The sequence below is a fragment of the Homo sapiens genome, chromosome 7 (genome assembly GCF_000001405.40).
Source record: "Homo sapiens chromosome 7, GRCh38.p14 Primary Assembly".
Classification (NCBI taxonomy): Eukaryota; Metazoa; Chordata; class Mammalia; order Primates; family Hominidae; genus Homo; species Homo sapiens.
The window spans coordinates 6,708,960-6,724,480 of record NC_000007.14 but is presented as its reverse complement, the minus strand read 5'-3'; the positions used below and the strand labels follow the sequence as shown (position 1 = coordinate 6,724,480).

The following is a 15,521-nucleotide window of genomic DNA, read 5'->3' as shown; positions in this document are numbered from 1 at the left end:
CATTGCTGTATTCAACTGCATCACTGCGGGAAAAGAGAAGGCGAGAGGTGGCTGTTTTGCTTTTTTCTGAACATATCAGACCAAACCTGGGCTGTTTAGCCTTTTTTTTTTTTTTTTTTTTTTTGAGATGGTGTCTCGCTCTGTCACCCAGGCTGGAGTGCAGTGGCGCAATCTCAGCTCACTGCAACCTCTGCCTTCCAGGTTTAAGCAATTCTCCTGCCTCAGCCTCCCAAGTAGCTGGGATTACAGATGTGCACTCCCACGCCCAGCTCATTTTTTCTGTATTTTTAGTAGAGACGGATTTCAACACGTTGGCCAGGCTGGTCTTGAACTTCTGACCTCTGGTGATCTGTCTGCTTTGGCTTCTTAAAGTGGTAGGATTATAGGCATGAGCCACCGCACCTGCTTCGCCCATTTTTTGACAACGTATCAACATCATTTAAGATGGGCACTGCCTCAGTGTAGTGTGTCTAGACAAGGTGGCCAGAAGAGAGGGGAATATGCAAACCAGGCTTGAAGACGGGTTAAATCAGAGCTTTTCATTCCACAAAAGAGCAATTTTAACGGGGTCAGGACATTGATCTTCTAATATTTGAAAGCCTGTTAACTAGGAGAGAGAGAGCAAACTGTTTGTTGTAGGAGGACCTACCCAGCTCTGACGGTTTAAAGCATCATGAATGCAAATTTGAACTCCAGAAAAGCAGAGTTTCCTAACAATGGGACTTCCACAGCAATGGGATCTGCTTCTTCACTCAGTCTGTGTCTTTCCCATGAGCAAGAGACTCCTAGGAGAGCCACAGCCCATTAGGAAGCCGTGTGGGAACTCACTCACACGTTCTTTGTTTATTTTTTTTGAGACAGAGTTTTGCTCTTGTTGCCCAGGCTGGAGTGCAATGGTGTGATCTTGGCTTGCTGCAACCTCTGCACCCTGAGTTCAAGTGATTCTCCAGCCCTCCCTCCTGAGTAGCTGGGATTACAGGCACCTACCACCATGCCTGGCTAATTTCTTGTATTTTTTGTAGAGATGGGGTTTCACCATGTTGGCCAGGCTGGTCTCAAACTCCTGACCTCAAGTGATCCACCCCCTTTGGCCTCCCAAAGTGCTGGGATTACAGGCATGAGCCACTGAGCCCGGCCAGGAACCCACAGGTTTTTCGGATGGTCTCTGAATGTCATGCAACTCTTTTATTTTGTATCAAAAAAAATTTTTTTGACACAACGTCTTGCTGTGTTGCCCAGACTGGAGTGCAGTGGCCAGATCATAGCTCACTGCAGCTTCTAACTCCTGGGCTCAAGCGATCTTCCTGTCACATGAGTCTCCCAAGTAGGTGGAACACAGGTGCCAGCCACCACACCTGGCTAATTTGGTTTGGTTTTGTTTTTTTAGAGATGGGCTCTTGCTATGTTGCCTACACTGATCTTGAACTGCTGGCCTCAGGCAGTCTTCCTCCCTTGGCCACCCAAAGTTCTGGGATTACAAGCATGAGCCACTGTGCACAGCTGAGATTTTTTGACTTAGCCTTTTTGTACATGCGATATTTTATTCCTAGAATCCATAAATGGTAGGGAAATTTCTGAGTTCAGAGCAATACATATGATACAAAACTTGATATATAGACTAGAGTTTGTTAGCCAAACTGGAGGGGCTGGCTTTAGGTAATCCATGGACTCCCTGAAATTGGGGACACCATTGGAAATATGTGTGAGCTCCTGGACAGTTTCCTATGACTTTCAGGCCTCAAGATGTCTCTGGACTCAAAGATGCCTTAGGGCAGAGGACGCTTGTACCCCCAGTATAGAATCTCGGACAGTGAATGTCAGTAAACATTCGGCAGAAAAGCTCTGCCAAACTGAGTGCTCTGATGTGACATTTTCATCAAGTCAATGTTCCTGGGATCTCTTGTACATGATCATCTCACTCTTGTAAGGTTTCATAGTTTCTGCTTAGCCTAGTTTTCTTTCCCACCCTGTTCCCTCTCCCACCAGACTGGACTCTGAAATGGGCATGTACAGAGAAGAGGAGACCCCACCATGCTTCAGGCTTTGAGTGGAGAGGACACAGCCTCTGCTGGGACAGGGAACAGAGGGATGTGGAGACCCTAAAGATGCTTTTGGACAGTGCCTGAGGTTGGGACAGTGGCAGGAGATACCATTCACCCACGATCTCCAGGACAAAGATCAGCCTGGCAGTTACATGTGTTTTTCTTCAAACTGGTTGCCAGGTTGGAATGACCAATGACATCAGAGATTCCAACCTTCCTGATTGGAAGGACTGGACTCTGTGGGCTCCTGGGAGCTCAGCTGGACAACCTTCTCAGAGCTGGTCTCCACTCCTGACTTCTCCCAGCCTCGAAAATTGACAACACACTCTTCTGGGTCTTAGCAGAGTCCAGAAGAAGGCCTTGGACAGAACAGAGACTAGGTTCCGTGGGATGGGACAGATTTTGGGAAAGATCATAACCAGCCATCAACCGCACCCCCAGGATGAGGAGCAGAGCCCCCAGCCCAGCGCCTCAGGGTACCCCTCCAGGAGGTGGTGGATGATGAAGTGTCGGGACCATCAGGTGAGGGGACTGGAGGAAGAAGAGGTAGGATAGGATTGACTAAGATGAAGGAAGGGGGCCGGGCGCAGTGGCTCATGCCTGTAACCCCAACACTTTGGGAGGCCGAGGTGGGCGGGTCACCTGAGGTCAGGAGTTCAAGACCAGCCTGGCCAACATGGCCAACCCCATCTCTACTAAAAGTACAAAAACTATCTGGGCGTTAGTGGTGCGCACATGTAATCCCAGCTACTCGGGAGGCTGAGACAGGAGAATCGCTTGAGGCTGGGAGGAAGAGGTTGCAGTGAGCCAAGATTGCGCTACTGCACTCCAGTCTGGGTGAGAGAGTGAGACGCTGTCTCAAAAAAAAAAAAAAAAAAAAAAGGTCAGAGGTCAGGAAGAAGAACCTGAGGCGGGTGTGTGGGAAGAATGGAGAAATTCAGATTCAGGCCAGGTGCAGTGGTCACACCTGTAATCCCAGCACTTTGGGAGGCCAAGGCAGGCAGATCACTTGAGGCCAGGAGTTTGAGACCAGCCTGGCCAACATGGTGAAACCCCATCTCTACTAAAAGTACAAAATTGAGTTGGGCATTATCGCAGGCACCTGTAATCCCAGCTACCTGAGAGGCTGAGGCAGGAGAATAAGTGGAATCTGGGAGATGGATGTTGCAGTGAGCTGAGATTGCACCACTACAATCCAGCCCAGGAGACAAGGCATGATTCTGTCTCAAAACAAAAAAAAAAAAAAAGGGAGGGACTCAGAGAGCCAGGGACCAGGGAAGGACATGAGGAAGTGTTGTGAGGACAGAGAGATGGAAGAACGGGGAGGGGAAGGAGCGGCACATGGGGCTCAGCAGAGGAGAAATCCAGAAAGATGGCTTGGAGAAGCCAGCAGTCTGCGAAGCTGGGGAGGATGGAGAGTGGTTTGGGGTTTGGGGTCGGGGTCTAAGGTGGTCAGTTGCAGAAGCATTACACCATGGCCTGGCTTCTTTACTCAGCCCCTGGGGTAGATCCCAGCCCCCCATGTAGGTATTTTTGCTGGAAAAGGAAGAGGGAGTGGTTGGACAAATGTGAGGAGGAGCCAGAGAAGAAGCTCACCCCCGAGCCTGAGGAGACCTGGGTGGTGGAGATGCTGTGTGGGCTCAAGATGAAGCTGAAGCAACAGCGAGTGTCACCTCGTGCTCCCTGAGCACCACGAGGCCTTCAATAATCAGATTGGTAGGAGGACACTCCAGAGAGCACCTCCAATCCTGTTCTTCTAAAAAAGAGGAAACTTCCAATAACCACTATTTTCCAATGGGAAAAATATGCCCCCATTGGGTGAGCTCTCCATGTGGGAGGACTCAGAAGTGATCACTCATGAGGGACGCTTAGGAGACAATAGAGGATTAGGCTAGACTTGACAAAGGTCAGTGCTTGGGATAAGAAAGCTTTGTTTTGGGCCAGGTGAGCTTACGCCTGAGATACCAGCATATTGGGAGGCTGAGGCAAGGGGATTGCTTGAATTCAGGACTTTGAGGCTGCAGTAAACTATGACTGCACCACTGCACTCCAGCCTGGGTGACAGAGCAAAACCCTGTCTCAAAAGAAAAACCAAGGCTGGGCACAGTAGCTCATGCCTGTAATCCCAGCTACTCAGGGGACTGAGAGGAGAATCGCTTAAACCCGGGATGCAGAGGTTGCAGTGAGCCAAGATCACGCCAGTGCATTCCAGCCTGGACCACAAAGCACGACTCTGTCTCAAAATAAATTAATAAATAAAAATAAAAATCAAATAAAGAAAAACAAAATCAATAAACAAAGAAAGTGGTTTCAGCTGTGCTCTCTGAAACTTAATGTCTCTTACTGACTTTTCTAAACCTAAGTGTCTCCATCCATAGTGGGGGATACCAAGGCCATGGTCACACCCTGATGTGACTGTCTCATGAGGAAATGATGGGAATTCCTTTATGACTCTGCAGTGGTCCCTCCGTGTCTGCTGGGAGGGCATCCTGGCTTATTCCCAGCTCTACATCCCGTAGATTCTCACACCCAGGGCCTCCTTCGGCCTCTTCTCAGGGGAGTCTCAGAGCAGGAGCCTCTCTCCTTTGCCCAGTGAAAGTCATTCTCCCCCCTCCCATCCACCTCGCCCATGGCAGCAATCCTGAGACCTCCCCCCCGGGAGGCACACTTCTCGCTGCCCTGCTGCTCCCACAGAAAGCTTCTCATGCTGACATCTGCCCTCTAATAACAGAGGATCCTGTGATTAAAAGATTCCTGGCCTGGGACAAAGATCTGAGGGTGTCAGACAACGTAAGGTTGTTCTCCATGTAACTGTGTTCCTGCTTCAACGCACCACCGGAGGGAGGGCGCAGCTTCCAAACCCACAGTTCTCCCTCCACCACCTCCCACCAGGTGCTCCTACGGTCTTTTTTTTTTTTTTTTTTTTTTTTTTTTTTTTGTGAGACAGAGTCTTCCTCTGTTGCCCAGGCTGGAGGGCAGTGTCTCAATCTTGACTCACTGCAGCCGAAGCCTCCCAGGTTCAAGCGATTCTCCTGTCTCAGCCTCCAAGCAGCTGAGATTACAGATGTGAACCACCACGCCTGGCTAATTTTTGTGTTTTTAGTAGAGACGGGGTTTTGCCATGTTGGGCAAGTTGGTCCTGAACACCTGACCTCAGGTGATCCACCCGCCTTGGCCTCCCAAAGTGCTGAGATTACAGACGTCAGCCACTGTGCCCCACCAGCTCCCACAATCTTGAGTCTTGGCACCCACACTTTTTTCTGAGACAGAGTCTAGCTCTGCTCCCCAAGATGGAGTGCAGTGGCATGATCATAGCTCACTGCAGCCTCTAATTCCTGGGCTCAAGCAATTCTCTTTCCTCAGCCTCCTGAGGAGCTGGGACTAGGCACATGCCACCATGCTCAACTAATTTTTGAAATCTTTGTAGAAACAGGGTCTCGCTACATTGCCCAGGTTGTTCTCAAACTGTTGGGCTCATGTGATCCTCCTGTCTCCACCTCTCAAAGTACTGGGATCACAGGCCTGAGCCGCCACTCCCGGCTATTCTTGGTCTTTTTATGATTTGTCAGCATCTCCCTCAGGACTCTGCTGGTCTCTTGCCGAGTGAATGAATAGCCCCTGCCTCTCCTATGGGTCCTTTAGGATCTGAGCCCTGGTCCACAGTCTGACCGCAGCCCTGAAGCTCCTGGCCCCTCTACTCTCAGCTCTTTGAGACAATTCTCTGCCTGGCACACAAAAGACCCTCCTGACACCAGCTGACCTAGACACGCCCCCACCAAAGATCCCATCGGAGCCCACCATCCTGGGAGCATCACCGACATCCCTTCCTCCCTCGGATTTGCATCCGACCATCGAATACCCCTCCACCCTGCTATTTCCAAATGAGTACAGTCACCCCAACACTGAAGTCCCTTCTCTGATGGGCAGCCCCTCCCCAGACCCTCATTCCCCCTCTCCACAATCTTCCTCTTCCAAGATGTGACCTCTCTGTGTTCCTTTCTCTCCATCAGTATCTCCTGGCTATGGTCAGCGTATTTTAGCCGGGCCAGACCCTTCTCCTGGCAATACCAACGCATCTATTTCTTCCTGGCTCTGTGAGTGGTTTGCTGCCTCCTATCGGTCAATATCCAATGCTCTGGGACAGCAGAGGAAGGTGGGATTCCAGCCTTTCATTTATTCTTTCACCTATTTGTCCACTTTACTCTGTGTACAAAAAAGACAGGATTTTACTATCTTGTTCTTAGACTGTTGTTTCTAAAAAGAAACTCAGGCTGGGAGCGGTGGCTTACGCCTGTAATCCCAGCACTTTGGGAGGGCCAGGCAGGCGGATCATCTGAGGTCAGGAGTTCGAGACCAGCCTGGCCAACATGGCCAAACCCATCTCTATTAAAAATAGAAAAATTAGCCGGGCATGGTGGTGTGCACCTGTAATCCCAGCTACTTGGGAGGCTGAAGCAAGAGAACCCCTTGAACCCAGGAGGTGGAGGTTGCAGTAAGCTAAGGTTGAGCCACTGCACTCCAGCCTGGGTGACAGAGTGAGACTTTTTCTCCAAAAAAAAAAAGCAAAAAAAAACAAACTCCAATGCCAGTGTACAAATAAAAGAATAAAACAAAAGGAAACATAAACTGCTCCTAAGGGGAGAAGAAAAGGAGCGGAGGAGCGGACACGACACTTCCCCCAGCAAGCAGACGTTTCTGGTTCTTCTCTCTCTCTCCTTCCCACATCAACCACAAATGCCATCGACCTCCTCCGGGTTCCCACGACAGAGGCCACAGTTCAGGTCCCCCTCGCATCACTCGAATCCACTGTCAAATGCTCCCTGCTGGGGTCTCCTGGAGTCTCTCCCCAAGCCAGGGGGCTCCCTAGTGCAGCCTGAACATCTTTCCACGGCACGATGCCCTCACTGCCCACCTGAACAACCTCCTTAGCTGACATCTTTCTAAATCGAGGCCAGGGTAACAGTGCCAATTCCACCCTCTCTACAATCTCTACAACCACACTGGCTCGCCTTCTTGGTGTTTCCTGGCTTGGCTTCACTGCTCCTTCCAAATGTCCTCCACTTGACTTTGCGTTTGTGTTTTCTGTCTGGATGTCCCACACACATGTGGTTCTGAAGGGAAGGACCCATTCCTTGAAGTCAGTTCACCCCACAGCCTCTGTCATGCCTTCCCTCATCTTCCAACTTCTGCACGCCCGTAGATCTCCAGTTATATCCTATTATAATGTGACACTGGGATTAGGTCATCTGCCTTGATTACTACCAGTCCCATTAGACTAGATGCCTGTAGAAGGCAGGGTCCTGGCAAACTATCAATGTATTCAATTTCTTTTATTTTTTTGAGACAGACTTCCCCTGTCCCCCAAGCTGGAGTGCAGTGGTGAGATCATAGCTCACTGCAGCCTCCATATCCTGGGCTCAAGCGATCCTCCCACCTCAACCCCTTGATTAGCTCCGACTACAGGGCTGTGCCACCACACCTGGACAGTTATTGATTAGTTGATTGATTGGGACAGAGTCTTGCTGTGCCTCTCAGGCTGGAGTGGAGGGGCCCAATCTCGGCTCACTGCAACCTCTGCCTCCTGGGTTCACACAATTCTTTTTTTTTTTTTTTTTTTGAGATGGAGTCTCGCTCTGTCACCCAGGCTAGAGTGCAGTGGCGCGATCTCCGCTCACTGCAAGCTCCACACCCTGCTTTCACGCCATTCTCCTGCCTCAGCCTCCCAACTAGCTGGGACTACAGGTGCCCGCCACCACGCCCAGCTAATTTTTTGTATTTTTAGTAGAGAGGAGGTTTCACCATGTTAGCCAGGATGGTCTCGATCTCCTGACCTTGTGATCCACCCACCTCGGTCTCCCAAAGTGCTGGGATTACATGCATGAGCCACCGCAGCTGGCTGGGTTCACACAATTCTTATGCTTCAGCCTCTTGAGTAGCTAGGACTAACAGGTGTGCCACCGCACCAGGCTGATTTTTGTATTTTTAGTAGAGATGGGGTTTCTCCAGGTTGACCAGGCTGGTCTCAAACTCCTGATCTCAAGCAATCCACCTGCTTCAGCCTTCTAAAATGCTGGGATTACAGGCATAAGCCACCGCGTCCAGCATATTTCTTATATTTTTAATAGAGATGAGGGTTTTGCTATGTTGCCCAGGCCCATCTCAAACTCCTGGCCTCAAGTGATCCTCCTGCTTCGGCCTCCCAATGTGCTGGGATTCCTCGCATAAGCCACCATTCTTGGTCACCAGTTGGGTTTTTGTCTCCATCCTGAAGGAGTGGGAGACGCCCTTCAGCAGGTCTCTGTCCAGCAGAGCCCTCCTGAGGAAGGCGTGGCTCTGTGCAGGGTGTGTGCCCGTCCTGAGGTGAGGACGGTCCCCTGCCCTCCTCTCTAGGAAGCTGACGTCAGCCAGAAGTCTCTCCTGGTGGTGCCCCTGAGCAGTAACCTGATAGCTGTCCCCAGCTACTTGGCCAATGACATGGAGGAGGACAGCGAGACCCCCAAACAAAACATCTTCTTCTTCCTGTACGGGAAGAACTGCTCTCAGATTGCCTTGTTCCATACGCTTCATTTCCGGGTCTTCCGTTCTGTGTGCTGCAGGGCTTGCATTTCCCTGGAGGAGTTCGAGGAGGTGGGTGGGGCCTGGGGAGGTGGAGGAGGTGGGGAGGAATTGGGTGGGCTGGAGGCTGGATAAGGGGAGGGAGGAGTATCCTGGGGAGTCCCCATCTTCTTAAGGGGCGTCTGTTTTTCCAGATCCAGGCTTATGACCCAGGGCACTGGGTGTGGGCGTGAGATCGCGCCCACCTTTCCTAGAGCTCCAGGGACCGTGGAGGCCTGAGGTCATCGGCCTGAGAGAAGGTACATCTGTGTCCTCTGGGGTAAAGGCAGAATATTGGGGTCTATTTTGGAAATCTGAGGAACCCAATTGCTTGATCCAGCTTCAAGCCTGAGCAACGTGGCGAGATCCCCTCTCCACAAAAATACAAAAAGTAGCCAGGCGATGTGGGAGGCATCTCTACTCCCAACTACTCAGGAGGCTGAGGCGGGAGGATCGCTGGAGCCTGGGAGGTCGGGGCTGCAGGGAGCCCTGATCCTGCCACTGCCCTCCAGACCAGGCGACAGAGTGAGACCCTACCTCAAAAATAATCATAAATACTGAGTTTGGGGAGGTTCATTATGATTGACACACTTGAGTTACCGATTTGGGTTGAGGGTTCAGTGAAGCTTTGGTTTACATCTTGTGCAGCTAACCACGTTGAGCACAGAGCATGAGACTTCATCATGAGGAGGTAGGATTATGGATTAGGCTTCTGGACTCAGGGTTCGTGATGTTGTCACATTAGAAACAGATCTAGCATGGTTACAAGTTTAGCTCTTAAGTGACACAAAAGGCCCCAGCTGTGATGAAGTCCAAAGCCACATTCTCTGAGGGTGCCCTACTCCCTGGGCAGACCCACCCGAAGTCCTTGCTATGAAGTAGATCACTGGGGCTGCCCTTGGGTGTATTAAGTGAGTTTTGGAGTCAGGGTCACCAAAGTGTGAGTTTCACAGTTGAACACCATGGTTCAGAAGCAGGCTATGGAATGAAGGACAGGAGATAAAACTGGATTTCTCAATTGCTCTGAACTCTAGTTAGACTTGACATGGGACGTGAATAACCTTCCTGTCTAGAGAGCTGCCTCATTGAAGTGTGACATCCTCTTTCGCACTTCCAGAATGCTGGGCCCAGGGGAGATGCAGATTTTCAGCAAGAACTTTATTCCAATGCTAATGGCAGGCACCAGGAAGGAGGAGAGGAGCCATTTGTGCAGATCATCTAGAAGAACCTGGACTGTTCTAGACGGAGCTGAATAGAGTGATCATGTTGTCCTCCTAGGATGGGGTGGGGTGGTACTTCTAGGAATCCATAGAGAACAGTGAGAAACCAGGGGTGTTTCCGGTTCCACCCTTTCCTGAGGCACCATCTCCCTTTTTATATTGCTGAATTCCAACCTCCTGGGGCGGAACCTGGAGGTCCTGTTTCTTACGGACTTGGTTGCTACAGTCCAGGAGCATTTGAAGGCACAGTGCAGACACTCAGATTGGCATGGAATTCTTTGTAAAATATGAGTGCCATAGACTGTAACAGACAGCTTCATGCACACTATGCATTTATTGGTTTGTTTGGAAAATGTTGGCCATCAAATTATTAATAGGTTTATTTCAAATAGTTTGGAAATTGTTGTACTTTTGAAAACATGCTGTTCCTGTAGATTTTTTGATGAGAGTTATAGCTGTTATATATACATAAAGATAATTTTCTTTTCATTTTAAGAGAATCCTTTTTATCCTAAATCTTTTATTATGTTTAAATTGTTTTCTGTATTATTATATGTGCCTCTGAAGCGAGTACACTTTTTATCTATGATACTTACATAATAATCTTTTCCCTTTATAGCTATTGGTAGTTCTACTAAGTTCTCATCATAGAAATTTTTATTTGCTGTTTAGATTTGTGACTGAATTGTGAGAATTCAGTTGTGATTTTTAACATGTCTTAGATATATACTAACATGTCTAATAAACACTATATATTTTATTGGTATATTTTGAAAAAGATGGGCATAGAATTATTACTACATTTATTTAAAATATTTTGAAAATACTGGTATTTTTGAATAGACACCATTCCTATAAAGTTGTGAGATGGGTGTTACAGCTGCTATATACACATAAATATAATTTTGTTTTCCTTTTTAAGAGAGGATTCTTTTTATCCTAAATCTTTTATCTGTAAATCTTTGTATCTATTATTACATGTGCTGCTGAAGGGAGCACTCTTTTTATCTATGATACTTAACATATGTATTACACTTATAGCTACATGATAGTCCCCCTAAATTCTTATAAAAATCAATTTTTATTTGATGTTTACTGTATGTTTTTGAAATGTGAGAATTCAGATGTAATTTTTTACCTTGTATTGGCATGTTTGTATGTTACTTTAAAGAGGATGTGTGTTCTAAAGGAGGACATGAGCTGTGGGTTTTCAAGAGAACAAGGCAGTGCGTCTCTTGGGGAAACGTAATAAAGATGAAGTTTTCTCACCTTCACAGCGAGTGTGATCATATTGGTCTGGATTGACTATTTGCTGTCATGACATTTTTCCTTAATGGGGTTTTGGTTATTTGAACATATTAATTAGCTCTAGAAGATAATCCTGCATTATTTTTTATGTAGAGAAAAACATAAGGCTGGGTGCAGTGCTCACACCTACATTCCCAGCACTTTTGGAGGTCATGGCGGGAGGATCACTTGAGGCCAGGAGTTTGAGGCCAGCCTGGGCAACATAGCATCAACATCTATTTTAAAAAAAATTTTTAAAAAGAAAAATAATAGAAGAGAAGGCCGATCCCAAGCTAGAGGTTTTGTTTGTTTGTTTGTTTGTTTGTTTGTTTGTTTTGGAGAGAGAGTCTCGCTCTGTCTCCCAGGCTGGAGTGTACTGGCACGACCTCGGCTTACTGCAACTTTCACCTCTGGATTCAAGCGAATTCTCCTGCCTCAGCCTCCCAAGTAGCTAGGACGACAGGCACCCAACTGTACGTCTGACTAACTTTTATAAAAATAGTAGAGACAGGGTTTCACCATGTTGGCCAGGCTGGTCTCCAACTCCTGACCTCAAGTGATTCGCCTGTCTTGGCCTTCCAAAGTGCTGGGATTATAGGCATGAGCTACTGCGCCCACACCCCAAGCTAGAGTTTTAAAGCAGGAAATGAGGGAAAGATATTGAGAGAGGAAAACCAGGTGGTAAGAAAACTCTAAAGGTGGCAGGGCGCAGTGGCTCACTCCATTGATCCCAGCAGGAGTTCAAGACCAGCCTGGCCAAATGATGAAACAGTCCTCCACATGCCTCTGCTTCCTTCAGTACCTCTTTATGAAATAAACCAGGGTACTTCCCTGGGGAATTTCCTTTTTCTTTCTTCCTTTCGAGATGGAGTCTTGCTCTGTCACCCAGGCTAGAGTGCAGTGGTACGATCTTGGCTCACTGCAACCTCTCCCTCCCGGGTTTTAGCAATTCTCCTGCATCAGACTTCTGAGTAGCTGAGATTACAGGTGCATGCCACCATGCCCAGCTAATATTTGTATTTTTAGTAGAGGCAGGGTTTCACCATCTAGGCCAGGCTGGTCTTGAACTCCTGACCTCGTGATCCACCCGCCTTGGCCTACCAAAGTGCTGGGATTACAGGCGTGAGCCACCGCGCCCGGACTTCTTTTTTTGTTTTTTGAGATGAAGTTTCGCTTTTGTTGCCCAAGCTGGAGTGCAATGGCACAATCTCAGCTCACTGCCACCTCCTCCTCCCAGGTTCAAGCGATTATCCTGCCTCAACCTCCTGAGTAGCTGGGATTACAGGCACCCAGCACCGAACCCAGCTAACTTTTTGTATTTTTAGTAGAGATGGGATGTCACCATGTTGGTCAGGATGGTCTTGAACCCCTGACCTCTAATGATCCACCCGAATTGGTCTCCCAAAATGCTGGGATTACAGGCATGAGCCACTGTGCCCAGCCCCTCCCATACCTCTTTTGGCCAAGGCAGTACAATTCAGAAGAACCTTGCCAGGGAAGACTGGCAAACGGACATCAACGTGATGCCTATGGCTCCTGGAGGATTTAGATACCTCCTGGTGCTCACTGATATCTTCACCAGTTACATGGGGGCTTTTCCATGCCAGACTGAAAATGCAGGAGATCACTGATCAACCTTCAACTATTCACTAGCAGAACACTGAGGGGACTGTGCAGTCACCAATACCTCCTACTGCACTTGGATAAACACCTCCCGGGAAATAGAGATGAATAGAAAGGAAATAGTCAAACTAGCAGAATGGCTGCATTCCTTCAACCAGAAGGGTCCATTAGTCTGTTTTCATACTGCTATAAAGAACTACCTGAAACTGGTTAATTTATGAAGAAAAGAGGTTTAATTGACTCACAGTTCTGCAGGCCGTACAGGAAGCATGGCTGGGGAGGCCTCAGGAAACGGACAGTCATGGCAGAAGGCGAAGTGGAAGCAGGCACGTCTGGCTATGGTGGAGCGGGAGAGACAGAGAGAATGAAGCGGGAGGTGATGCACGCTTTTCAACAACCAGATCCCACGAGGGCTCACTCACTACCAAGAGAACAGCACGGGGGAAGATGGTCCCCATGAGCCAATCACCTCCCACCAGCTCCCTCCCTCAACACTGGGAATTACAATTTGACATGAGATTTGGGTGGTGACACAGAGCCAAACTGTATCAAGGGTAGTTGAACCACCGAGATTTATTTATTTGTTTATTTATTTAGAGACAGAGTCTCGCTCTGTCACCCAGGCTGGAGGCTCACTGCAACCTCCGCCTCCCGGGTTCAAGCAATTCTCCTGCCTCAGCCTCCCGATTAGCTGGGACTACAGCACATGCCACCATGCCTGGCTAATTTTTGTATTTTTAGTAGAGATGGGACTTCACCATGTTGGCCAGGCTGGTCTCCAACTCCTGAGCTCAGGTGACCCGCCTGCCTCGGCCTCCCTTTTGCTAAGATTACAGGCATGAGCCACAGTGCCTGGCCAACCACTGAGATTTAGAAAGCAGTCGAGTCCACTATACCGCACCTCACCTGGTTTCTTCCTCTGTTGGGGCCCCTCGTGGCCACTGTTCTCCTGGTACTTTTCAGTCCTGTTTATTTAAATTGATGGTGAGCTGTTTGTCCTCCCGGCTCCAACACTTCCACCTTCAGCTTGTATTACCACAACAATACCAGCCCTTCAAGCAATTCTGGGTGACCCCAAAACTCATTTGAACTCAGCAGCCCAAGAGTTTCATTCCTCTAACTTTAGGGGACTCAGTGCCTCTGGTCAGCATGAAGTAGATACAGAAGCATGACCTCCATCCCTAATCCCTCAAGAATGAGGAGTGGAAGGTGTCGGCAGGAGGGTGGGGACACGGTTTGTAAATCTGGAACTGCATCAGACTAAATCTAGTTCAAGTTTTTTTTTTTTTTTGACGGAGTTTTGCTCTTGTCACCCAGGTTGCAGTTTAATGGCGCGATCTCGGTTCACTGGAACCTCCGCCTCCTGGGTTCAAGAGATTCTCCTGCCTCAGCGCATCACCACCCCTGGATAATTTTTGTATTTTTAGTAGAGGCGGGGTTTCACCATATTGGCCAGGCTGGGCTGGAACTCCTGACCTCGTGATCTGCCTGCCTCAGCTTCCCAAAGTGCTGGGATTACAGGTGTGAGCCACCACACTCCACGTCCATTTCAACTTTTATGTAATGTAGTTGGCAGTTGTTTTTCAACTGCCATGGATCCGTGGGTTGAAGGTCATATACTCTGAGCATGCCCAGATTAACCAAGCATGCAACCACGAAGTGGAACCTAAGTGCTCGGACTGAGGAGCTGGGACCCATTTAAGAACCGGACACCCTGTGGCAGGAGCCAGGAACCAATGAGATTGAGTTTTGGTGTCACTCCATGGCAGGATCCAGTCAGATCACACCTCCCAGCATTAATTACTTCATCTCAAGATCCAATCAAATCACATCTCCTTACCCTATGCGTACAAAACCTGACATAGCCCCCAGCTGGGAAAGGGAGATTTGAGCATTTCCTCCTGTGTCCTTGCTAGTTGACTTACAAAAAGGCTTTATTTCTCAAAAGCTGGAGCCATGGTATTGGCCTCTGTACACACTGGGCAGCGAGTGCATTGACTGCTCGGTAACATATATGTGGACTACATGCGGACTCGCATTTCCAAAACATTTGATTTGGTTTCAGTAAAAAATACCTTTCTAGCACATTAAAGCAACAGAAGTTCAATTTCTCTTTTTTTCTAAGAATTTGGGCAAATTCAATTTATATAAGTACATACACACCTCTACAAGCCAATCAGAACAGCAAACCTTTAAAGACTCTATATTGTGGCTCATGCCTGTAATCCCAGCACTTTGGGAGGCTGAGGTGATCAGATCGCTTGAGCCCAGAAGTTCGAGACCATCCTGGGCAACATGGCAAAACCCCATCTCTATAGAGAATACGAAAATTAGTTGGGTATGGTGGTACACACCTGCAGTCCCAGCTAATTGGGAGGCTGAGGTGGGAGGAACACCTGAGCCCAGGTAGGTTGAAGCTGCAGTGATCCGTGATCGCACACACTGCACTTCAGCCTGGACGACAGAGTGAGACCCTGTCTCAAAAACAAACAAACAAACTCTATATCTACTATAATACCATTCAGAGGTGGAAAAACATTAGACACTCACACAATCAGAGGTAAAGACCTTTCTAAATTACAGACACACAGACATACAAAGAAATAGAGCTTACAGCTTCAATTCTAAAATTTCAGACATGGGTCAAGAGTAAACACAAAAATGCAAAAACTCACCCTTCCAGATATGAAAGAGCTCTTCTCCTCCCAGTGGGCATGAAATTCTTAATTGATTTCAGCTCAAAATAGACAGAGAA

The 15,521-nt window shown here is 48.2% G+C and overlaps 1 pseudogene across 1 annotated transcript; it reads left to right on the top strand.

Annotated features, from left to right (window-relative positions):
* The first annotated feature begins 712 nt into the window (after positions 1-712).
* On the top strand, positions 713-11,142 carry SPDYE20P (speedy/RINGO cell cycle regulator family member E20, pseudogene; annotated as a pseudogene). The gene is made up of 7 exons (NR_173149.1): positions 713-834; positions 1,987-2,564; positions 3,539-3,758; positions 4,774-4,832; positions 6,053-6,136; positions 8,792-8,896; positions 9,754-11,142. The product of NR_173149.1 is annotated as a speedy/RINGO cell cycle regulator family member E20, pseudogene (transcript).
* The last annotated feature ends 4,379 nt before the right edge of the window (positions 11,143-15,521 follow it).